General features: G+C 44.9%; 1 protein-coding gene and 1 pseudogene across 9 annotated transcripts in view, besides 6 other annotated features; one reads left to right on the forward strand and one right to left on the reverse strand.

The window, feature by feature from the left end:
* Nucleotides 375–1,026, reverse strand: FAM136DP (family with sequence similarity 136 member D, pseudogene; annotated as a pseudogene).
* Nucleotides 409–909: an enhancer, noted in NCBI's record as "H3K4me1 hESC enhancer chr17:61687966-61688466 (GRCh37/hg19 assembly coordinates)". NCBI's record gives its function as "activates a minimal SCP1, AML or CMV promoter by ChIP-STARR-seq in naive H9 embryonic stem cells {active_cell/tissue: H9 hESC(naive)}" and the evidence as "EXISTENCE:reporter gene assay evidence [ECO:0000049][PMID:30033119]".
* Nucleotides 910–1,410: an enhancer, noted in NCBI's record as "H3K4me1 hESC enhancer chr17:61688467-61688967 (GRCh37/hg19 assembly coordinates)". NCBI's record gives its function as "activates a minimal SCP1, AML or CMV promoter by ChIP-STARR-seq in naive H9 embryonic stem cells {active_cell/tissue: H9 hESC(naive)}" and the evidence as "EXISTENCE:reporter gene assay evidence [ECO:0000049][PMID:30033119]".
* Nucleotides 11,461–11,530: a silencer, noted in NCBI's record as "silent region_8821". NCBI's record gives its function as "represses an Ori minimal core promoter by ATAC-STARR-seq in GM12878 lymphoblastoid cells {active_cell/tissue: GM12878}" and the evidence as "EXISTENCE:reporter gene assay evidence [ECO:0000049][PMID:35858748]".
* Nucleotides 12,141–12,530: a silencer, noted in NCBI's record as "silent region_8822". NCBI's record gives its function as "represses an Ori minimal core promoter by ATAC-STARR-seq in GM12878 lymphoblastoid cells {active_cell/tissue: GM12878}" and the evidence as "EXISTENCE:reporter gene assay evidence [ECO:0000049][PMID:35858748]".
* MAP3K3 (mitogen-activated protein kinase kinase kinase 3) overlaps nucleotides 12,220–23,715 on the forward strand; it is a 73,889-nt gene continuing 62,393 nt past the window's right edge. For all 9 annotated transcript variants that reach the window (NM_203351.3, XM_005257378.3, NM_001363768.2 and 6 more), the window contains exons 1-2: nucleotides 12,220–12,566; nucleotides 22,484–22,605. In NM_203351.3, the coding sequence (NP_976226.1) occupies nucleotides 12,563–12,566; nucleotides 22,484–22,605 (126 nt within the window). In that variant the 5' untranslated portion in view covers nucleotides 12,220–12,562. The remainder of the gene's footprint in view (nucleotides 12,567–22,483; nucleotides 22,606–23,715) is intronic.
* Nucleotides 12,621–12,680: a silencer, noted in NCBI's record as "silent region_8823". NCBI's record gives its function as "represses an Ori minimal core promoter by ATAC-STARR-seq in GM12878 lymphoblastoid cells {active_cell/tissue: GM12878}" and the evidence as "EXISTENCE:reporter gene assay evidence [ECO:0000049][PMID:35858748]".
* Nucleotides 12,921–12,970: a silencer, noted in NCBI's record as "silent region_8824". NCBI's record gives its function as "represses an Ori minimal core promoter by ATAC-STARR-seq in GM12878 lymphoblastoid cells {active_cell/tissue: GM12878}" and the evidence as "EXISTENCE:reporter gene assay evidence [ECO:0000049][PMID:35858748]".

The following is a 23,715-nucleotide window of genomic DNA, read 5'->3' on the forward strand; positions in this document are numbered from 1 at the left end:
CTAGTCTCCCTCCCAATTCCACATCTTAAAATCAATTTGTATCGCCTTGTATAAATTACACAAAACCAAGAAAACAAAGACCCAGAAAACTTTTTTGCCCTTCTAAGCGGGTGACCTCATGGATTTTGTTTCACAGCTTACGGAAAATGGTGTGGTGACACTTCTGGTAAACAGGATGTTGGCAACAAAGAGAAAATATCTCTCCTCAAACTCCACCAACTCTAACCTGCCAGCCTGTTGGTACCTGTGTAATAAGAAGAGTTTAGTGCCTTGGAGGGCTCTGGCTTGTTACAGGGGAGATCCTTACTGGCAGGACAAGCACTGGCCATAGGATATATAAGCTCTAAAACTCTCCTGTAATATCTCTGACCCAATTTAGCACCACTTTTTTCCATTTCATTTTTTAGGACTGAAACATAAAAGAACCAGTGTCCAGAGGCAAGTGACATATGTCTTACACTTGTGGCCATCCTTCATTTCTTCATAAACTTTGCTTAAAAGACTAAAATTCCCAATTCCTTATAAAAAATATATTCTTGCCCTCAGCCCCAGTGGCCACTGGCAAAGACTGTTATTTCCCAATGGATAAGAGAGCCTCCTTCATCTTCTTGGCCATAGTTGGGATGAGGTGCGTGTGGTCATCCACACACTTGGTCACACAACCGTCCAGCTGCTGCTTCACCTGAAGCTCCTTACTCCCAGTATCCATTGAATCTTTGGCTTTGTTGTTGCAATGCATGGCGCACCGGGCCAGGTGGTGCCGGAACTTCTCCAACTCACTGGTGAGCAAAGCCCGGGCTTGAGCCAGAGGCACATGGCAGTGCTTTGATGTACTGGTGCACCTACTGCATGGAGGCCTGGCTGTCCTCACAACAGCTGGTGCTGCACCGGAACATGAGACCCTGCATCTTCCAGATGTTCTCTCTCTCCAGACTCTTCACCATGGAGTCCACCACCTCCTGCACCCACAGCTGCTGCAGCTCTGCCATGGCGTCCCCATACCGCCCTGCACCGTGCCACCCCGGCTAATTTTTGTATCTTTAGTAGAGACCAGGTTTGGCCATGTTGGCCAGGCTGGTCTCGAACTCCTGACCTTAGGTGATCCGTCCATCTTGGCCTCCCAAAGTGCTGGGATTACAGGCATGAGCCATGGCGCCCAGCCTCTGTCTTTCAAAAAAAAAAAAAGGGACTTACTAGGGCCTGCTTTGCCTGGGTCCCTATGCATCCTGGGATTGGTCAGAGTGAACCAATGAGAAGACTGAGCTGCTCTCAAGAAGGGCTACCACAAGCTGGTTTTGAAAGCTTCTTGGTTCTGAGAACAACCAGCCCTAGATCCTTTTCATCTCTGATGCCAAATGATGTGGCACTGAGAACTGAAGAGGAAACGTGAACAGAAAGAAGAGTGAGGGCTGAATAAGAAGCCTCGCCAGTGGGAAATAGGGCCCTTGGTACCTTTTGCTCCTAATAGTCACATCTGTGTTTAGAAGGGCCAGGAACTCCCACCTCCTGCGTCAGAGCCTGTCAAGCATGTCAGGCCTAGAGTGGCTTTCTGATCCCTGTTATACACCTATTTATAAGTTATCTAAGCTAATTCTGAGCTCAGAGTAATTTTCCTGAAGGAGCTTCAGGTAAATAAGGATGACAAAGAACTAAAACCAAATTTACTGTAAATGATAACTTCAGCTTCTAAGAAAAGAATTACTGACTCCACACTGATGTCAATAGCTGGAGAGCAAGGGCTACGAGGAAGAAAACCAGTGAAATAATCCATGGTCATGCCACTTGCCCAAATATCTGAATTGCTTATCATTAAAAAAGAGCAAATTTACGTTTATATGTGGCTTCATAATTTGTAAGATACGTTTACATGTTATTTATTTGATTTTCCCAACAAACCTATAAAACACTTTGGCCAAGTATTTTATGCACAAATGATCTCATACCAAGCAGGAAAGAACAGGTCTTACACTGATAGACCTTGGTGTTTATAAAATAGCTCTGTTTTGGAAATTAATTTGGAGGAATCTTATTTATAATCTGAGAAATCTGTACTAAGGGAGTCTGCTCTTAAAGGGAACATGGCTAGTCATGTGAATAGATCTCTAATGTAGCATATAGAATCTTTATTAATATGGATTGTTGCATAACCAATTATCTTACATCAAGACATGCTTACTGTAAGGCACAGTAAAGGCTCCTGTGATGATGGCTCTGCACTGACCCCTAGTGGTGCCCTGCAGTCTCTCTCCTGCAGTTAATAGGAAAGGCAGAAATGAACCCTTCTTGAATTTGTTCTGCTGTCTCTAGATCTGGAAAAGAGACCCTGAGCTATTCAAATAAAGATGGTCACGGCCGGGTGCGGTGGCTCCCGCTTGTAATCCCAGCACTTTGGGAAGCCGAGGCGGGTGGATTACCTGAGGTCAGGAATTCGAGACTAGCCTGGCCAACATGGTGAAACCCCGTCTCTACTAAAAATACAAAAATTAGCCAGGCATGGTGGCAGGCGCCTGTAGTCCCAGCTACTCAGGAGGCTGAGGCAGGAGAATCACTTGAACCCGGGAGGTGGAGGTTGCAGTGAGCCGAGATCACACCATTGCACTCCAGCCTGGGGCACAAGAGCGAGACTCCGTCTCAAAAAAAAAACATTAAAGATGGTTACATCCATATGCCAAGGTATTATGTTGCCACTAAAAATTATTTTTTAAAGAATCTTTTGTCAGAGAAAATGTTTAGAATATAACATTAAGTGGGAAAAAAGATACAAAACTACATGTATAGTGTGGTCCAAATTTTGAAATAGATATGTATATATTTATTTAACATATTATATATATGAACTTTTTAAAAAAGACTAGAAGGAAATGTACTAAAATATCAAAACAGGTTATCTCAGGGTAGTGATGTTATTACTGAGCTTTATATTCTGTAATCATGTTTTCCTTTTTTCTTTCTTTCTTTTCTTTTCTTAAGAGATGGTGTCTTCCCGGCCGGGCGCGGTGGCTCACGCCTGTAATCCCAGCACTTTGGGAGGCCGATGTGTGTGGATCATAAGGTCAGGAGTTCGAGACCAGCCTGGCCAATGTGGTGAAACCCCGTCTCTACTAAAAATATAAAAATTGGCTGGGCGTGGTGGCGGGCGCCTGTAATCCCAGCTACTTGGGAAGCTGAGGCAGGAGAGTCATTTGAACCCAGGAGGCGGAAGTTGCAGTGAGCCAAGATCGCACCACTGCACTCCAGCCTGGGCGACAGAGCAAGACTCCGTCTCACCGAAAAAAGAAAAAAAAGAGAGAGAGAGAGATGGGGTCTTCCTGTGTAAGGCTGGTTTTGAATTCCTGGCTCCTAGGGATCCTCTTGCCTCAGCCTCCCAAAGTGCTGGGATTATAGGTGTGAGCCACTGTGCCCAGCCCCCATGTTTTACTTTTATCAGGTGACATAATTAAAAAAAAACCAAAAGCTAGTCTCACAGCATCTGAGAGTCTGGGAGTCAGATGCATGTTAAAGTCAGAGGAATGAGGTCCAGTGCTGGCTTGGCTTGCTTTGCCTTATCTTTGGTTATTGTCTTAGCAACATAAAATTATTCAAGGTCTTGAAGCCACCTTGGGCTTACCTTCAAGTGTCCTTTTAGTGGGACAGAAGTATCTGTGATAGGCTCTGTTCACAGTCTTGACTGTTATAAGAAGCACTCTTGTGCGTAGCCACCTCCCCTCTGCTAGAGGCCCTGGCTGAATCCAAGAGGAACAGCAAAGGCTGTGCCTCCAACCAACTGTGGAAATTCAGCCATGTGGTTGAGTTACTTTTTTTTCTCTGAAACTTATAGCAGTCAATAAATTTTCAAACTCGAAGAGCCCCCAATTCCCAGACTTATTTGAATCCCCAAAGACACTTCTGGAGACATTCTCTTCACAGAAAATAAGTCTGGCAAAAGGGAATGCGATGATAGATCCACAATACTCTTTTTCTTTTCCTTTTCCTTTCCTTTCTTTCTTTCTTTTCTTTTCTTTTTTTTGTGTGTGTGTGTGTGTAACAGGGTCTTTGTCAGCCAAGCTGGAGTGCAGTGGCACAACCATCGCTCACTGCAGCCTCAACCTCTCAGGCTCAAGCAATCCTTCTGCTTCAGCCTCCTTGCATGCCACCATGCCCGGTTATTTTATGTTTTGAAGAGATGGGGTATTGCTATGTTGACAGGGCTGGTCTTGAACTCCTGGGCTCAAGTGATCCTCCCATCTTGGCCTCCTGAAGTGCTGGGATTACAGGTATGAGCCATCAGCCTGGTGCCACACTACTCTTAACTGAAATTATTCTATGTCCAGCCAGTGAACAGGATAGCATTTTTACTTCTTTGTTCTTTTTATTTTTTGTGTATGCCCAAAAGGTAACATTTATTGTCTTTAAAAAGGCAAATCTTACATAAATAAATAACAACAACAACAACAACAAAATTCCCATTTAATTCTACCTCCTAAGATACAACCACCATTAACGATTTATATTTTTTCACTCTTTGGAGCCAGTCTGCTAGGGACCAAATTCTAGCTCTGCCAACAGCTAGCAACCTTGGACAAGAACTTAACCTCTTTGTACATGCTTCTTTACCTGTAAAATGGGGGTAATGATAGTACCGATTACATGCGGCTGTTTTGAGAATTAAGTTAATATATGTTAAGCACTTGAAACAGCACCTGGCAATAGTTAAGTGTTCAATAAATGTTGGCCTTTTTCTAAGTGTGAATGAGCATTTTTTTTTTCATTAAAAAATTTTTTTGGCCAGGCATGGTGGCTAATGCCTGCAATCCTAGCACTTTGGGAGGCCGAGGCAGGTGGATTGCCTGAGCTCAGGAGTTCAAGACCACCCTAGGGAAAACATGGTGAAACACAACATCTACTAAAATACAAAAATTAGCTGGGCTGGGTGGTGCTTGCCTGTAATCCCAGCTACTCGGGAGGCTGAGGCAGGAGAATTGCTTGAACCCAGGAGGCAGAGGTTGCAGTGAGATTGCACCACTGCACTCCAGCCTGGGCCACAGAGCAAGACTCTGTCTCAAAAAAAAAAAAATTTTTTTTTAATTGATATGGGATCTTGCCATGTTGCCCAGGCCAGTCTTGAACTCCTGGGCTCAAGTGATCCTCCCAGCTTGACCTCCCAAAATGCTGGGATTATAGGTGTGAGCCACCTTGCCTGGCCAGCTTCTTTTTTTTTTTTTTTTAAATAGACATGGAGTCTCAGTATGTTGGACAGGCATATCAGGGTCTTGATACGTAGTTTTGAACTCATGGCCTGAAGCAATTCTGCCTCAGCCTCCCAAAGTGTTGAGATTACAGGCATAAGCCACCACACCTGGCCTGAATGAGCATTTTTTAAAACTGAAAAGTGATCATGCTATATACTTTGCTTTAACCTTTTTTTTTTCACTTCACAATACATCCTGGTTACCTTTTAGTATTAGTATGGAGAAGTCTCTTCATTCTTTTTAATAGCTACATAACTTTTTTGGTATTAACGTGTCATAATTTAACCAGTCTCCTATCAATGGGCATTTGGATTGTCTGTTTTAAAAAAGATGCTAGGGCCGGGCATGGTGGCTCACACTTGTAATCCCAGCACTTCAAGAGGCTGAGGCGGGCAGATAGCTTGAGCCGAAAGAGTTCAAGACCAGCCTGGGCAACATGGCAAAACCCTGTCTCTACAAAACATACAAAAGTTAGCAGGGCATGGTGGTGTGCACCTGTAGTCCCAGCTACTTGAGAGGCTGGGGTGGAAAGATTGAGCCCAGGAGGTCAAGGCTTCAGTGAGCTATGATTACACCACTTCACTCCAGCCTGGGTGATGGAGTAAGACTCTGTCTTCAAAAATAAAATGAAAATAAAAAGTCAGGTGTGGTGCCATGAGCCTGTAGTATCAGCTACTGAGGAGACTGAGACAGGAGGATCCCTTGAACCTGGGAGGTTGAGCTTGTGGTAAGCTATGACTGTGCCACTGTACTCCAGTCTGGAGGACAGCAAGACCTTGTCTCAAAAAAGAATTTTCGGCTGGGTACAGTGGCTCATGCCTGTAATCCCAGCACTTTGGGCGGCCAAGGTGAGCGGATCATGAGGTCAGGAGATTGAGACCATCCTTGCTAACACGGTGAAATCCCGTCTCTACTAAAAATACAAAAAGTTAGCCAAGCATGGTGGCAGGCGCCTGTAGTCCCAGCTACTTGGGAGGCTGAGGCAGGAGAATGGTGTGAACCCGGGAGGCAGAGCTTGCAGTGAGCCGAGATCACGCCACTGCACTCCAGCCTGGGTGACAGAGCGAGACTCCGTCTCAAAAAAAAAAAAAAAAAGAAGATAAAATACTGCATATACCTAAAAGGGAACATTATGGAAATTACATTCAGTTACTAACATCTCCATTTGAGGTTCACTTACTCATTTGACAAATATTTGTTTTTTAATGTGCTATGAAAGATGAGAGGCATGCTGATTTGAAAGCAGCTTCTGTCTTTATGCTTAATTTGGTTGTTTTGTTTTGCTTTGTTTTGCTTTGTTTTGTTTTGTTTGAGGGTCTGGCCCTGTCATCTAGGCTGGAGTGCAGTGATAGGATCATAGCTCACTGTAGCCTTACCTCCTGAGCTCAAGCAGTTCTCCAACCTCAGCTTCTTGAGTAGCTAGGACTACAGGCACACGCCACCATACCTGGATAATTTTAAATTTTTTTTGTAGAGACGAGGTCTAACTATGTTTCCCAGACTGGTCTCAAACTCCTGGCGTCAAGCAATCCTCCCTCATTAGCCTCCTAAAATGTTAGGATTATAGACATATGAGCCACCACACCTGGCCTTTTTATACATACTTGGTTAAAGACAATTATTAGCAGGACACATGCTTTGATGAAGAAAGTACCCAGTGCTCTGACAGCATGTCTGAGGGCCTTAACCCGGACTTGGAGTTGTCTGTCTGAGAAGGCTTCCTGGAGAATGCTGTATAGGCTTAGCTCTTCCCTGAAAGAATGGAGGTGGGGGCTGGGCGTGGTGGCTCATGCCTGTAATCCCAGCACTTTGGGAGGCCGAGGCGGCAGATCACGAGGTCAGGAGATCGAGACCATCCTGGCTAACGCGGTGAAACCCCGTCTCTACTAAAAAAAAAATACAAAAAATTAGCCAGGCGTGGTGGCGGGCACCTGTAGTCCCAGCTACTCGGGAGGCTGAGGCAGGAGAATGGCATGAACCCGGCAGGCGGAGCTTGCGTCACTGCACTCCAGCCTGGGCGAGAGAGCAAGACTCCGTCTCAAAAAAAAAAAAAAAAAAAAAAAAAAAGAATGGAGGTGGAAGCAGAAGCGAAGAGGATTTCATGCAGAGAACATAGCACACGCAGAGGTATAGAAGCAAGAGAAATTCACATTTGAGGAATTGCTGGTGGTTCTATGTGGCTGGGGCATAGAATTTGAATAATGGGGTTAACTATTATAGTTAAGGTGGAAATAGAAGGACGTGTGGCTGAAGAAGAAGGTATGGGTTGGGTCCTGAAGGACCTTCTTAACTACATTCACATATATGACTTATCCTAAGGGTGATGGGAAACTTTTTAGGGAGGGTATGGCAGAATCAGGTGTCCATTTCAGAAAGATCAATCTGTGATGTGAATATATGTTGAGAGGCTGTTACGCTTAAGTCATGCAGGTAAGAGATTTTGGTGGTTTGAGCTAGGGTGGTAAAATGGGATGGGAGAGGGATGGACAGATTGGAGACTTGTTCAAGACTGGCTGTGGGGGAAAGAAATGGAGAGAAAGAGCTATCTGATCATTCGAAGGTATCCAACTTGGGAAACTGGAGAGGGACAGAGAAAATACAGAACTATGGGGGAAAATGGTTTCAGTTTGGACCCAAAATTGGAGGTTCCTGTGGGACACCCATGTCTGTGGAGTTCAGAAGAAAGACATCCCTGAGCTAGAGACACAGTTGAGATTCTGGAATCCTCAGCGCATATGGTAACTGCAGTATGGGAATGTTTGAGATGGCTGGTTGAGACACCGACAGTGCAAATGAAGCCACAAAGAAGGCAGTTGTAAGAAAGGTAGAAGGTAAATCAGAAGGTTGTTTTCAGCTAAAGACTCAGGTAGATGTACTGCGGTTCTCCATGTGTGAGGCACTATTCTAAGTGCTGGTGATAGAGCAGTAAGCAGGACAAAATTCCTGCTCCTGCATACCTTATGTTTGTGGTAGTTGGAGTAGAGCAAACAAATAAATATATAATTTTAGCCACTGAGAAAAAAAAACAAGGAAAAAATATACAAATACAGAATGATGGAAGGGAGGGGTCATTTTGGATGGGGTGATAAGAAATGACTTAAAAGCAGACGTTTGAGCAGAGACTTGAATAAACTGCAGAAATGAGAACATCTTGGCTTGGTAGTTTCAAAGAATGGAAAGAAGGCCAGAGTAGCTAGAGGACAGTGATGGAGGGACAGGATGGAGGGGCCAGCTCCTATTGGGCTTGGCAGGTCATGACAAAGAATTGGGGTTTTATTCTGAGTGTGATGGGAGGGAAGCCATTGGAGGGCTGACAGTGGGCAGGGGGTAGGGTGGCGTGATCTGAATTACATTTTACAGGGATCACTCTGGTTGCTATTGGGGAATCATTTGTTGGGCTGCCACAGAGGAAACAATGGAGGCCAGATAGGAGTCTGGGGCAGTCATTCAGGAGAGTAGGTGGTGGCTTGGATAAGGGGGGTGGGATGAGAAGTGGTTGGATTCAGGTGTGTGTGTGTGTGTGTGTGTGTGTGTGTGTGTGTGTGTATTTTTATTGTATTTTTTTTGGAGACAGGGTTTCACTCTATTGCTCAGGCTGGAGTGCAGTGGCACAATCTCGGCTCACTGCAACCTCCGCCTTCTAGGTTCAAGCGATTCTCCTGCCTCAGCCTCCAAGTAGCTAGGATTACAGGCCACCACACCTGGCTAATTTTTATATTTTTAATAGAGATGGGGTTTCACCATATTGGCCAAGCTGGTTTCGAACTCCTGACCTCAGGTGATCCACCTGCCCTGGCCTCCCAAAGCGCTGGGATTACAGGTGTGAGCCACTGCGTCCGACCTGATTCAGATACATTTTGAAGTGGGAGCTGAAAAGATTTGCTGCATGTTTGGATATATGGGTGTCAGGGAGAGAGAATAATCAAGGAACACTCCTAGGTTTGTACAGAGGGTCTCTGACTTACTATGGTTCGGCTTATACCTTTTTTTTTTTTTTTTTTTTTTGAGATGGAGTTTTGCTTTTGTTGCCCAGGCTGGAGTGCAATGGCATGATCTTGGCTCACTGCAACCTCTGTCTCCCGGATTCAAGCAATTGTCCTGCCTCAGCCTCCCAAGTAGCTGGGATTACAGGTGTGCGCTACCACGCCCAGCTAATTTTTTATTTTTAGTAGAGATAGGGTTTTACCATGTTGGTCAGGCTGGTCTCGAACTCCTGACCTCAAGTGATCCACCCGCCTCAGCCTCCCAAAGTGCTGGGATTACAGGTGTGAGCCACTGTGCCCCGGCCTCAGCTTATGATTTTTGGCGTTATGATGGTTCAAAAGCAACACACAATTCAGTAGAAACTGTGCTTTGAGTACAACCATTCTGTTTTTCATTTTCAGTACAGTATTTGGTAAATTACATGAGCTATTCAAAACTTTCTTATAAAATAGGCTTTGTGTTAGATAATTTTGTCCAACTGTAGGCTAACTTAAGTGTTCGAGCACGCTTAAGATAGGCTTGGCTAAGCTATGATGTTCAGTAGGTCAGGTGTATTAAATGCATTTTCTACTTAACGATTGTTCATCTGATGGTTTATCTGGACATGGCCCCATGGTAAGTCGAGCAGCATCTGTGCTTTAGCAATTGGGAAAACAGAAAGGAGCATGGCAGCTCACACCTGTAATTCCAGCAATTTGGGAAGTTGAGGTGGGAGGATTGCTTGAGCCCAGGAGTTTGAGACCAGTTTGGGCAAAATGGTGGGACACCCCCAACTCTACAGAAAATTTTTTTTACAAAGGCTCTACTCTACCTGACAAAATCTTATTCCTTAGTATTTAATTTCTCTTCTTAGGGAGAATTTAAATTTAATTAAGTAATTTAAATTAAAATTTTTTCCTGGCAGGGGTGGATAATGAAAAAAAGGTTGAGAAACACTGGCCTAGTGCAAGAACATGGCCTTTGGGAGTCACACAGGCTTGGTATGAATCCTGGCTCCACTACTTGGACACAGTGCTTAACCTCTCTAAGCTTCACTTTCATCATTTAAATGCCCACAGTATTAGCATAATAACCTTAGAGTTATTGGAAAAATTAAATGCAATGACGTGCCTGTTATATTGATAAATACTAATTTTCTTTCCCCTTTATCCCCGCTTTCAAGAATAGAGATTATTATAGTTAAGGAACTCCAGTAAACTGGGTAGAGACCAAATCAAGTGGGAATATGGCAGGCTTAAGCTTGTTGGAAGAAAAAGAAAACAGGACAAGGGGGCTGATTAAATATACGGAGATGAGTGTAAAGAAATAAGGGAGGCTGCTTGCAGTGGCTCACGCCTGTAATCCCAGCACTTTGGGAGGCCGAGGCTGGCGGATCACCTGAGGTCTGGAGTTCGAGACCAGCCTGGACAACATGGCGAAACCCCGTCTCTACTAAAAATTCAAAAATTAGCCGGGCGTGGTGGCGCACGCCTGTTAATCCCAGCTACTTGAGAGGCTGAAGCAGGAGAATTGCTTGAACACGGGAGACGGAGGTTGCAGTGAGCCGAGATCGCGCCACTGCACTCCAGCCTGGACGACAGTGTGAGACTCCATCTCGAAAAATAAAAAAGAAAAAGAAAAGAAATAGGGGAGAGCCCAAGGTAATTCTTAAGGGATTTGACACTCAAGGCAAAGCCACCACTAAATGTTCTTAGTGGACAGTGGACAATGACATCTGAGGAAGATTATTCTGGAGCCTGACATATTACACTGGAACAGAGGCCGGAGAAAGGAGCCCACATTAATTGTGGTGGACTTGGAATCTGAAGATCTGAGTGTATAAAATGTTGAACAATGAAAAGGTTGGGGAAATTAATTATGGTGCCTTTAATTTTGAAACATCATGCAATCAGTACAATTGTTTTGGAAGGATATTTGGTGGCACGGGAAAACAGAATAAAATGTAAGCATACTACAAAACAATACAAAGCCATTTTTGTCAAACGCCTATCTAGGTAGGAAATAGATTATCTCTGGGGTGGGATCTTTTCTTTTTCATAGTTTTCTGCATTTTTCAATTTTCCTACAAAAAGCTCGTGTTGCTTTTATAAGAAAAAAGTTATTTTCTGAAAGAACCTCTGGCGGAACTCAGATTTCCAGGGACCCACATGCCAGCACTATCCCAGCCTCGGGTGTCTGAGGTACCTAGACCAGAGGGTGTGGCCCTGGAGGTGTGAGACAGGGAAAGCTGGGCTGGGCCGGCCGCCCCTGCCCGGGGCAAGAGCAGCGTCGGGACCGGAGGACCAGTCGGGGGATGGGGCCGCAGAGGTGGCCGCGCGCCGGGAAGTGCTCAGGCCAGACCCTCCCCACTCGTTACACGCCCTGTGCTGGGCACGGGGAGGAGCAGGACGCCACCCTCTGGAACCACCCAGATCGCTGGGGCCTCCGAGAACCCGGAGGGCGGAAGGCCTGAGGGCCCCCTGCAGCCGCCTACTCCTCACCCCAGCCCTAAAGTAGCCGGCGGGGAACTGCGCCAGCCCGCGCGCCCGCCGAGCCTTCGGTGACTGACGGGAGGTGGGAATGTGGGCGGAGCCTCACGCCGGAGCTGTGATTGGAACAACCAACACCTCCCAATCTCTCCCAAGAGAGGGAGACAGCACCAGAGAGGGATGCGCAGAGGCGGGGGCTTAGAGGCCTCTACGTGATTGGCTAACAGCGCAGGGAGCCGGGCGCTGTCCCGATGATTGGCAGGCGCTAGACAGCCCTCGGAAACCGCCTTGGCTTCGCCCATTGGCATCCTGTGAGAGTAGGCGGGATTGGTTCATCGTGTGGTGCTGATGATTAGCTGGCCGCTGAGAGTTAGGGTGTTGGGAGAGAGTTGGAGGGGGACGGCGGGGGCTGCCGACTTCCTTCTTGTTATTGGCTGGTGAGGTGGGTGGGGGTGGTGCGACGGCCCAGCGGCTGCCTGGGATTGGTGGGGGCCGGCGTGAGTGACAGACAGGGGGGCGAGCTGCGCGACCAGCGGTTTGTTTTTCGGAGCGTTCCTGAGGTGGAGAACGGTGGCCGGACGGAGAGACTGCGGGTCTGAGGGACTGGCGGGCGGGCGGGCCGAGCGGCGCCGCCGAGGCCGGGCTGGGCCGAGCCCAGGAGCGCCCGGGATGTAGCGGGCCACCCTGCCGATGCCACAGCGCCCGGCCGCGGGCGGAGCCGGAGCCGGAGCCTGGGGAGGCGGCGGGGGCCCAGAGCGCAGCCCGCGCCCCCCGCGCGGAGCCAGGCCCGCTGCCGTCCCCGCCGCCCGGGCCCCCGGCATGCAGCCCCGGCTGCGGAGGTGACACTCACGGACCTTAGCCACCGCCGCCGCCATCGCCACCATGGGTAAGTGTCGCCACCGCCCCGGCCTGTGCCCGCGCTGCTTCGCGACGCCCCGCCCCAGGCTGAGGGAGGAGGACCCTGGGCCACCGCCTGACAGGCATGGACAGCCCGCCCGGCCCGGGGCTGCGGACCGCCGGCCGGCCGGCCGCCCGCCCCGCTCGCGCGCCGCGGCCCGGGCGGGGGTTCTGGCTCCGCGGGGCGGCCCGGCCGGCAGAGCCCGCTCGGCAGCCCTCCTTCTGGGCGGCGCGGCGGGCGCATCCCGGGGAAGCGGCGGCGGGACCGAGGGCCCGTGCTCCGCGGGGCAGCCTGGTCCGAACGAGCCGGACCGCGAGCCCGAGGGCGGGGGAGCAAGAGCGCAGTGTGGGGCCCGGGCTGGAGGCTGCCGCAGGCCCAGCTGCTGTTGTGTCTTTTCCTTGATTTGCTTTTTTTTCCTGCCTGTGTCATTTCCTTCCCTTTGCTCACACAGGCCGGCCTGTGAGAGTTCCCGGGGCTTGCTCTCCAGCCCTGTGCGCGCCCCAGCGCAGGGGGGAGGGCGTGCGGGGCTCGGCTAGGAGGCGATTAAACTGGAGCTGTGATCAAGCGCGCGGTTGACAAATGCGTGCTGCACGCAGATTGCTGGGGGTCAGGAGTTGGTCGGATGCTGCCAGTTAGAATTCACATCCTACTTTTTGAAAAATCCCGTTGCAGGGGTTTAATCCATTATTTTTTTCTTGCGGTATCCCTGAAATTATGTAACTTTTGAAAGAAACATTTGCTACACAAAAGAATTTCTCTGAAATCACTTCCTTTTTGTCAGTATTTACAATTTCTACTGTGAAGATGTAATCTAAGGAAAGCTTTTAATGTCTTCCGCACGTAGCATTTGAGTTGAATTATATTCCATATCCTTTTTGGTAGTTTAGCAAATGACTACTGGACTAGACTAAGAAATAACATTTTAAACGTTCTTTACTTCTCCTGCCCAGACAGGTGTTGTGATACTGTTGTCACAAGTTTTGCAAAATATTTGGTATTGCCCTAAATAATAATAAAAGGGTAAACTTCAGTGAGAGGATCGTTTGCAAAACGTTCCGTTGCTTCTGTGAAGTGCCCCATGTGAAGAGGGAGCCTTAATGTTTGCCTTGCCCTATAGCAAGGTCAAGTCCTTTTTGTAGGAGGTTAACTGTACGCTATGTCAAATTCGCCAGATATTGTTTTGTGACCCATCTCTACACCCTGGCTTTGAATGAATTGCCTTGTTCTAGTTCATGCTGTCCCTCATACAGTATGAGAAGGGTTTGTTCATTTGCTGGGCTTACTGTTTCCTTCTCATGCTTTCCTTCAGAAGTGCGTGCTCTTCTGAGGGAAGGTCTGCTGTGAGAGTGGACATAAAAGGAACCCAGTAAGGCCTGGTATTTAAATATATAATTGAAGAAATGTTTATTGAATTTTTTTATAGATGAGACACAGAATTCTTGTCTACCCCAGGATTCAAACATTTATCTTGTATTATAGATTTTGAATAAATCTTCGAATTGATTTATGAGCCTGTATTGTGATAGTCTTTCTTACAAGTCTTTTTTCTTGTCCTGTGGGGGCAGCTGTTAGTCCCAAAGGAGAGTGTGAAATACTTAAGGGTATGTAGACCATCCACTTCCTACTTTGTTGACTGCTACACCAGTTAGAGTGCCCACATGTGTTGACTACATCTCATTATCTAACATGAAAATAGATATGAACCTGTTTTCACATTTCAAGACATTTTCAAAAAGTTTATAAGTGTGTGAGTATATGGAGACCAATGATGGGGAGGAAGGAAACTATATAGGCTGGGTCTAGAGCCCCAAAGAAAAAAGGGCCAGGACCTCAGGATCTTCTCATTTGTCCCCACATCAGTTGTCCTCCTGTCAGTTTTACGTGAAGACACATGTAAAAGGAACATGCAAGAGGAATTAACTTCCCTGGTGGCTGCAGTATATTAGGCAAGCTAGTTTAAGAACCACTGCCCTAGCTTTCTTCACTTTCCCCCATACAATTCTCTCCATCTTTTTTGTGAGGGGAAAGTAGATGACCTTGATACACTGTTAGAGCTAATATTGAATTCTTCTTGACACCTGGCTGTTCAATTTGCTTTGTATAGAGCTCATTGAGGATATGTATACACAGATACATTCACACACAGTCTCTCTCTTAAATACTAGTTTCCATTTTGGTGATGAAAATTTGAATTTCCAGTTTAGTTAGTTTGCTTTTAGTTGCTGTAGTTCTAAATAAACTCAAAGGATTGATAAGAGAGAAACATAGACTTCTTAGTATTTTAGTTATACTTGTTAAACTCCAGCCTCATGAAGAAAGGACTAAAACTTGAGTCTCTGCCCTGCAGGTTCTTTGGTTAAGTAACAGTCACATTTTCCTGAGCTGTTCTAAGCCCAAGACTGAAGCCTGTTTGACAACTTGGGTTAATAAAAACATGTCAGATTTTATATTGTCTGTTAGCCCCAATGAATTTCTAGTGGAAATTATTTATCTCTGTAAATAATAGGAAATTTTTTTTTTTGCTTTGATACTATGTGGCTATAAAAAATTGGGATTGACTGGTTGTTTTTTCTTGGTCACTCCAGAATTCATTTCCAGATTTAGTAATCATAGTGGCAAATGCTGTTCATAATACCTGAGATTGTTTATGTGGTCTTTTTATAAACGCAGTCTGAAACTTTATATATCACTGAAAAATATGTAACAACTTGGAAATGCTACAGGAAACTATAGTGAATGGAGTACAGGATTACAGATGATCTGGTTCTGGTTTGAAGTCAGAATTATTGTGACTTACAGACACCTTGTCTAGGGTTCCAAGGCTGTTAGGAGCTCCCTGTTAGAATAGTCTCAATTCAGTTTGGCTAGAATCTGACCACCTATGTAGACTCTGAATAGTTAGCAGCTGTTTTGATTGAAATTTGAATCACAGTTTAATAAATCAACATGGCTATGTCATTACTAGATTTCTGATATTTTTAAAAATGACAGTTGGATTTTAAAACTGAATTTTAGGTTGGGCATGGTGGCTTACACCTATAATCCCAGCACTTTGGGAAGCTGAGACTGGTAGATCGCTTGAGCCCAGGAGTTCGAGAGCAGCCTGGGCAACATGGTGAAACCCTGTCTCTACTAAAAACACACAAACTTAGCTGGGCGTAGTGGCATGCCCCTATAGTCCCAGTTACCCAGGAGACCGAGGTGGGAAGATCATCTGAGCCTGGGAGGTTGAGGCTGCAGTGAACCATGATCGTGTCACTGCACTCCAGCCCAGGCAACAAGAGTGAGAGACCCTGTCTCTAAAACAAAAAACAAACAAAAAATAGCTGAATTTTAGGCATCTGTAAAAAGTAAGTATCTGTCCAACTGAGCATTACTTAGGGGAATACACAGAGGATAAGATGAGGTTTTTCTGGTTCTATGGAAGCTGTTAATTTATTCTTTGCCCATTTGTTGAATGCCTCCTATGTGCCAGGCATAGTATTAAGCCCTGTGCCTGTGTTATCCTGTCCTCAAGAAGTTACAGTTAGGTAAGGTGAAGCAGAAACATGTAAACAATTAAGTGCAAAAGTGTGTAAAGATATACAGGAGAGAGATCAATTCTGTCGTTTTGGTATTGACACATGTAATTCTATAGTCTCCAGTCCTTTGGGTTAATTTCACTAAACGTTAAAATGTAGTGGTGATATATATTGATTCTTATGAGGAATAAATGGCCTACTTTATAATATGTGTTTTAAGAATTTGAACCATCAATTAATATTGAATGCCTATTATATCTTAGAACAGAAAAACGCCAGCATTTGACTTTGAGATTTAGCAAAGGTTCAACCATTTCTTGAAGGATAAAAGTTTCTTATGAATTGAGGGTCTGGCCTTATTGCATATACTCATTGTAAAATGATGTTTGCCTGGGCATGGACAGGGTGGAGGCAGTGGAAGTATGTGGAATGTCATGAAGAGAAAGTAAAATCTGACTCAGGGACACTGAAGCACAGACTCTCCTGAGTGGGCAGTGCGATCAGACGATCTGGTGGAGCTGGGTAGAACATTGTCAAGATGAAGAAATAACATCATTAGTTAAATGAAACAAAACAAAGATTAAAACATTACTTTGGGGATTGTATCTATGGAAAAGAGAGAGAGTGTGTGGCATAGTAAACAGACACCATACGGGATAACAATGTTTATTAGAGAATGTGGTGCTTCTGGCAACTTTTCTGGGTTGTTAGCCAAGGGAACTCACAAATGGGAAGTGCCTTAAGACCCTGCTTTGAGATACAAGTAATAGCTCAGTCTGGAAGAGTGGCTTCCTGCTGGAGCTAAAGAGAGGAGTATGTTGCCTGGCAGCCTCCATACCACAGGTTGGGGTACCAGGAGAAGAAAAACTACATGCCACTGGGGAATTACTTAAAACTGCCTAAGAGCTTCTACTTTTTAAGCCTGAACTCTAATCCTTGTTTGATAGATCCTTTTCTAGTTCCATGAATACTCCTCCTTTTCCTAGATTCTTAACCTCTTAATCTCTAAAATTAACCTCTTTCTCCTTATGCTTCTTCCTGGTAGCTTCTAAGTGTGTCAGACCACTCCCACTCTCAGGAAATCTTTTCAAAGTTATAAGCACACTATTACGCTACCTCAACTTGTTCACGTGTAAAGTTCACAAATACTTTTTTTTTTTTTTTGGGGTGGAGTTTTGCCCTGTCACCTAGGCTTGAGTGCAGTGGCACGATCTCAGTTCACTGCAACCTCTGCCTCCCGGGTTCAAGCAATTCTCCTACCTCAGCCTCCCGAGTAGCTGGGATTACAGGCACCGGCCACCATGCCTGGCTAATTTTGTATTTTTAGTAGAGACAGGGTTTCACCATGTTGGCCAGGCTAGTCTTGAACTCCTGACTGCAGCTGATCCACCCTCCTCGGCCTCCCAAAGTGCTAGGATTACAGGCATGAGCCATCGTGCCTGGCCATGACTAATTTTTTGTATTTTTTGTAGAGATGGGGTTTTGCCATGTTGCCCAAGCTGGTCTCAAACTCCTGGGATCAAGTGATATGCCCGCCTTGGCTTCCCAGAATGTTGGACTTACAGGTGTGAGCCAATGCGCCCGGCCTGTCACTCTTATTTTCTTCAATCCTTTTTTTTTTTTTCTGAGACAGAGTCTCTACTCTGTCGCCCAGGCTGGAATGTGTTGGCATAGTCTTGGCTCACTGCAACCTCTGCCTCCCAGGTTCAAGCTATTCCCATGCCTCAGCCTCCACAGTAGTTGGGATTACAGGTGTGCACCACCACGCCCAGCTAATTTTTGTATTTTTAGTAGTGATGAGGTTTCACCATGTTGACCAGGCTGGTCTTGAACTCCTGACCTCAGGTGATCTGCCTGCCTCGGCCTCCCAAAGTGCTGAGATTACAGGTGTGAGCCACCACGCCCAGCCAGCTTGCTTTTCTTAAAGAATCTTTAGTCTGTTAACAATTATGTAAAATCATCCATATAACCTCTTATATAACCATATAAGCTACTCATATTTAAAAATATTTATTTTTATACATTTGTATTTATATACTCTGGTTTATATATTGTCTAATTCTGTCTTTTTTTTTTTTTTTGAGACGGAGTTTCGCTCTTGTTGCCCAGGCTGGAGTGCAATGGCACCATCTTGGCTCACCGCAACCTCCGCCTCCCAGCTTGAAGCAGTTCTCCTGCCTCAGCCTCCCGTGTAGATGGGATTACAGGCATGTGCCACCACGCCCAGCTAATTTTGTAGTTTTAGTAGAGACGGGGTTTCTCCATGTTGGTCAGGCTGTTCTCGAACCCCTAACCTCAGGTGATCCACCTGCCTTAGCCTCCCAAAGTGCTGGGATTACAGGCGTGAGCCCCTGGGCCCTGCCAATTCTATCTTTTTTTTCATACAACTTTGTATTTGTGTGTTGTTTATCTTTTTATCCCTAGAGTTTGAACACCTTGAAATATCTTTTAAAACTTTCTAATGTGTAATACAAGATAAGTATTCAGTAAATTGTTGTTAATGATTTATAAAAGTTCAGTAATAAAATTAAGTATTAGGGTAGATTAAATGGCCTCCAGTCTTTTTCCATTGACCTTTTCTCATTGATGATAATAATAGCCAGCATTTTTTTAGCATTACTGTGTTAGGTACCATAAGAAATAATTCGTAGGTTTTCTGTTGCTTTTAACTCCCACAGCAGCTTTGTGAAATGATGCTTTATCTCCATTTTACAGATGAGGAAATTGAGGTTTGGAGAGAATAAATGATTTGCTCAGGGCCTCCTTACCAAATTTTTCTGACTCTGAAGTTCATATTCCTAACTGCTTCAGTCTAAGAAAGTTGTTATTTGTTGTTTTTTTTTTTGAGATGGAGTCTCGCCCTGTCGCCATGCTGGAGTTCAGTAGCGCTATCTCAGCTCACACCAACCTCCGCCTCCTGTGTTCAGGCAATTCTCCTGCCTCAGCCTCCCAAGTAGCTGGGATTACAGGCGCACACCACCACGCGCAGTTAATTTTTTTGTATTTTTAGTAGAGACGGGGTTTCACCATGTTGGCCAGGCTGGTTTCGAACTCCTGACCTCAAGTGATCCACGCATCTTGGCCTCCCAAAGTGCTAGAATTACAGGCGTGAGCCTCTGCGCCCAGCCTGTTATTTGTTTTTAAAAGTTTTGTTTGTTTTTAAAGAATGCCACATTGGAGGAGTGCTGATAATTCAGTTAGTCTCAGTCCATACCACAGAGATAACTGGCTTGTGGCAGCCAAGTGTGCATAGTGATGTTGCTTTTTAGAAGGAAAAAAAACAAAAACAAAACCTCAATCCAGGAAGAAATGCCTAAAAGAGCCACTTGATTTACTTCCTGTCTTTATACATGTCCTCTGAAGTATCAGTTGAAGAACCTGTCTACCTCTAGGAATGTATTTTACTTTGACACAAAATTAGATTCTATAACCCTGATTCACTTGTGTCAGTTGTCCCAGATTTCAGATGACAGTGCCAAACTTTTCCACTAGTGTGTTCTCAGCTCTGGAACTACTAAACAAGTTTGTTCATTAAGTAATGCCAGGAATTGGTTAGCTTCCTGGAAACAGAATTTGTCAACCTGATAAACCAGCTCTTATAATAGCGTCATCTTATACAGAATTAGAAATGATTTCTTCAGTCATACTTGTGGATCTGACTTGAAAAGTGGTGTGTGTATGTGTGTGCCTGTATGTGTATTCACATCCATCTTTGTTCAATATCTGAGTTGAAAGAACTGAAAATTCTCAATACTTAGGGTGGTTAATGTTGTTACTGATAACTCCTTGCATTCCGCTTTTAGGAGTATTGTTGGATGCTCCTCAGAAAACACTTAAACCTAGTCATAATCCTCCTTGTATTGATCCCAATTTATTATTACAGTTGGCCCAATTTTATATATATTTAATAATATCTAAGCCATTTAATATATAAACCTATACATATTATATATAAGCCAATCTTCCTAGCTTAGATGTTATGCTCTAGTTTTTAAAGTTTGGTTGTGAGGATAAAAATCAAAACAAAAAACCAAGTTCCCTTTTTGTTTTTGGGACAGGGTCTCACTGTCGCCCAGGCTGAAGTACAGTGGCATGATCATGGCTCACTGCAGCCTCAACCTCCTGGGCTCAAGTGATCCTTCCACCTAAGCCTCTCAAGTAGCTGAGCCTACAGCGTGCACCACCATGCCCAGCTAATTTTTTGTATTTTTTGTAGAATGTAGTTTTGCCATGTTGCCCAGTCTGGTCTCGAACTCCTGGGCTCAAGCAATCCACCTGCCTCAGCCTCCCAAAGTGCTGGGATTACAGGCATGAGCCACCCTGTCCAGCCAGGTTCCCTTCTTTAAAGAAGCTATAGGGAAATTGTAGAAGGTATAAAATAATTGATGGGATATATATGTGTTAATTTGACAGATGTCTTTTTGTAGATACCCACTTTCTCCTCATTCATTATCCCCTTTACTGCATGCTTTCTATATTACAGCTATGTCACTCTCATACATACTTTTGTATATGTTTTGAAGTGGAATCATATGGGAAGTTATGCTCCTGGTGGTTTTCCTGCAAGTTTTAAATCTAATTTTACTTTCCTGAACAAGCAAAAACCTCTTTATAGGCAACTTTGTCCTTTTCTGTACCTCGTCAGAGGGCATATAGGGCACCAGAGCAGATTTCGTCTAGGAAGAGGGGAGAGGCAAATAAGGTGAGGGGCCAGGCACGGTGGCTTATGTCTGTAATCCCAGCATTTTGGGAGGCTAAGGAGGGAGGATCGCTTGAGCTCAGGTGTTTGAAATCAGCCTGGGCAACATGGTGAAACCCTCGCTCAATAAAAAATACAAAAATTAGCAGGGCATGGTGGTGTGCACCTGTAGTCCCAGCTACTCTGGAGGCTGAGGTGGAGGATTGTTTGAGCCTGGGGGTGGAGGAGGCTGCAGTGAGCTGTGATTGCACCACTGCACTCTAGCCTGGGCAACAGAGTGAAACCCTGTTTCAGTCAGTCAGTCAATCAGTTAATCAGTAGTGGGAGAAGAGACTTGAGCAGTTTTACTTCCTACATTTCATGCTGTTCGTTTCTTTCCACAGGGTATTAGAATATTTCCAAGGGACAGTGATAAAGGGTAGAAGATAGGCACTCTCTTTGGGTGGAATCTTTTGTATTTGCTTCTTTTAAGGTGTGCCCCAAGTCCCCAAATGGCTCAGTTGTCACCAAAGCAAGTGTAACAACTCATCCCTCATGTTCCCTTCACGATCAACAGATTTATTCATTTTCAATCTCCAAATGCTATTTGAATGGGCAAAGATCTCTTAAAGGACCTGGGAAAAATTTGTACAACATGGAATTGGACTGGTTTGTGTTCTGGGTTTTGGCCAGTTGTTTTCAATGTATGAGAACTCTAGTACTCCATGCTATTTCAAGAAAAGGGGATTAAAAGTAATGCCAGTAAGGTGGAGACAATGCATTGCTTGGTCAGCTTAGGGAGGAAAAACAATAGAACTACCCTTTGACTTCCCCATGGGAAGTAGTAGGCCTATAAACTTGTAAAGAGTTGTGGGGGTTGCTGGTGGTGGCGGCATTCAAATGCTAGGCTTGTAAAACAACTTCTGTTCAAAGCAGTTACCTGAGGCCCTTATTTGGTACCTTTTAAAGTGTGCTCTCCTCCTTATGATGCTTTAAGAATAAGTCTGGGACTGACACTGTGCCATAATCCTCTCTCTATGGATTCATCTTTTCATTCAGTACCATATTACATTGTACTGTGTTCTTCACTTCAATTTTTCATCTATTTTTCCTGGTTAAGTTTCTCTGGCACTGGACCAACTGCCCTGTTTGAGCGTGTCCCTTCCCTGCAATGAATTGGTAAATATTGCTGCAGGAAATCTGATTGGAGGGCTATTAAGAAACCATTAAAGGCCAGGCATGGTGGCCCACACCTGTATGTAATCTTAGCACTTTGGGAGGCCGAGGCAGGAGGATCACTGGAGTCCAGGAGTTGGAGACCAGCCTGGGCAACATGGGGAGACCCCGTCTCTACAAAAAATAAAAAAATCATCCAGGCATGGTGGTGCATGCCTGTGTTCCCAGCTACTCAGGAGGCTGATGTGGGAAGGTCACTTGAGCCCCAGAGTTGGAGGCTGCAGTGAGCTATGATCACGCCACTGCACTCCAGCCTGAGTGACAGAGCAAGACCTTGTCTCGAAGAAAAAAAAGAATCCATTAAAATTCAAATTGCCATAGTCTGACCTTTTGGGCTGCATCTGATTATAGTTACAGGGTCTGTCATTTTACCTGGGCAGAACTCCCTGAGTATTAGTTATACAGTTTGTGAAAGAGCTTTGCTGGTCTGTATTTAAGTGTCTTAGTCCATGTGCTCTCTTTCATTGCAGACGAACAGGAGGCATTGAACTCAATCATGAACGATCTGGTGGCCCTCCAGATGAACCGACGTCACCGGATGCCTGGATATGAGACCATGAAGAACAAAGACACAGGTCACTCAAATAGGCAGGTGTGTGTGACCCTGGCAGAGCTAAGTGAGATTTGTTGGGGAGGGGTTTTCAAATGGGAAATATACGAAAAGCCAAGGAGACTACATTACCAGGGTTGAATGCTTTTGACCCCTTCCTTTCACAGTCTGTTAAATGGGAAGTAATACATACCAACCAGGTATGGTTAAATGGTAAGTGATATTGGGAGGCCGAGGCAGGCGGATCACCTGAAGTCAGTAGTTTGAGACCAGCCTGGCCAACATGGTGAAACCCTGTCCCTACTAAAAAACACAAAATTAGCCAGGTGTGGTGGTCCATGCCTGTAGTCCCAGCTACTCAGGAAGCTGAGACAGGAGAATCGCTTGAACCTGGAAGGCAAAGGCTGCAGTGAGCCGAGATAGCACCACTGCACTCCAGCCTGGGCAAGACAGAGTGAAACTCTGTCTCAAAAAAAAAAAAAAAGTTATATATGCCATGCAGTTATGGATCTATGATTTGGAGTCTTAAAGCCTTGTGTAAGCATTTCATCTGTTATGGGGACAGTATTCATATTCGTTTTTCCCCTTTACTGATATTTGGCAAATATTTAATTCAGATTCATGATCCCTAAGTCAGAAGGTTTTTAGCTACCTTACAGTATATAGTCAGGAAAAACTAATTAATTTGGTATTAGCTTATGTAAAATATAATTAAGAAGGTAAATTTATTAATTAAAATGTCACCTAGTATATTCTGAAGGCAATAATGAGTGATTTTGTTATTACTGTTTACAGTTATTTTACCTTATTAACCTTATTGATAGTGCCTGTTTTATTGAGAGTTGTATGCTTCTTTAGGAAAACATTGCCTATTTTCCTTAACATTTAAACTTGTGTGTCATTGACAATCTTCTTCTCACCTGTAGTGCCACTTACCTGTTTCCTGGGTACTTTGTTCTGCAGAGAGGAGTGAATGATGGGGAGCTTTCCTACCTAGTGGGTATCCAGTGCTGTGTCAGCTAGCTATATTGGGCATGTTTGATGAAAATTTGTGTATGACATTCTCCCTTTTGGTTCTGTTTGTTATCAGCTAACCTCCTTTCTTCTCATTTGCACCTTGTTTACCAATTCTTCAGAATTGGTTCCTAGAGA

Source organism: Homo sapiens, chromosome 17 (genome assembly GCF_000001405.40).
Source record: "Homo sapiens chromosome 17, GRCh38.p14 Primary Assembly".
Classification (NCBI taxonomy): domain Eukaryota; kingdom Metazoa; phylum Chordata; class Mammalia; order Primates; family Hominidae; genus Homo; species Homo sapiens.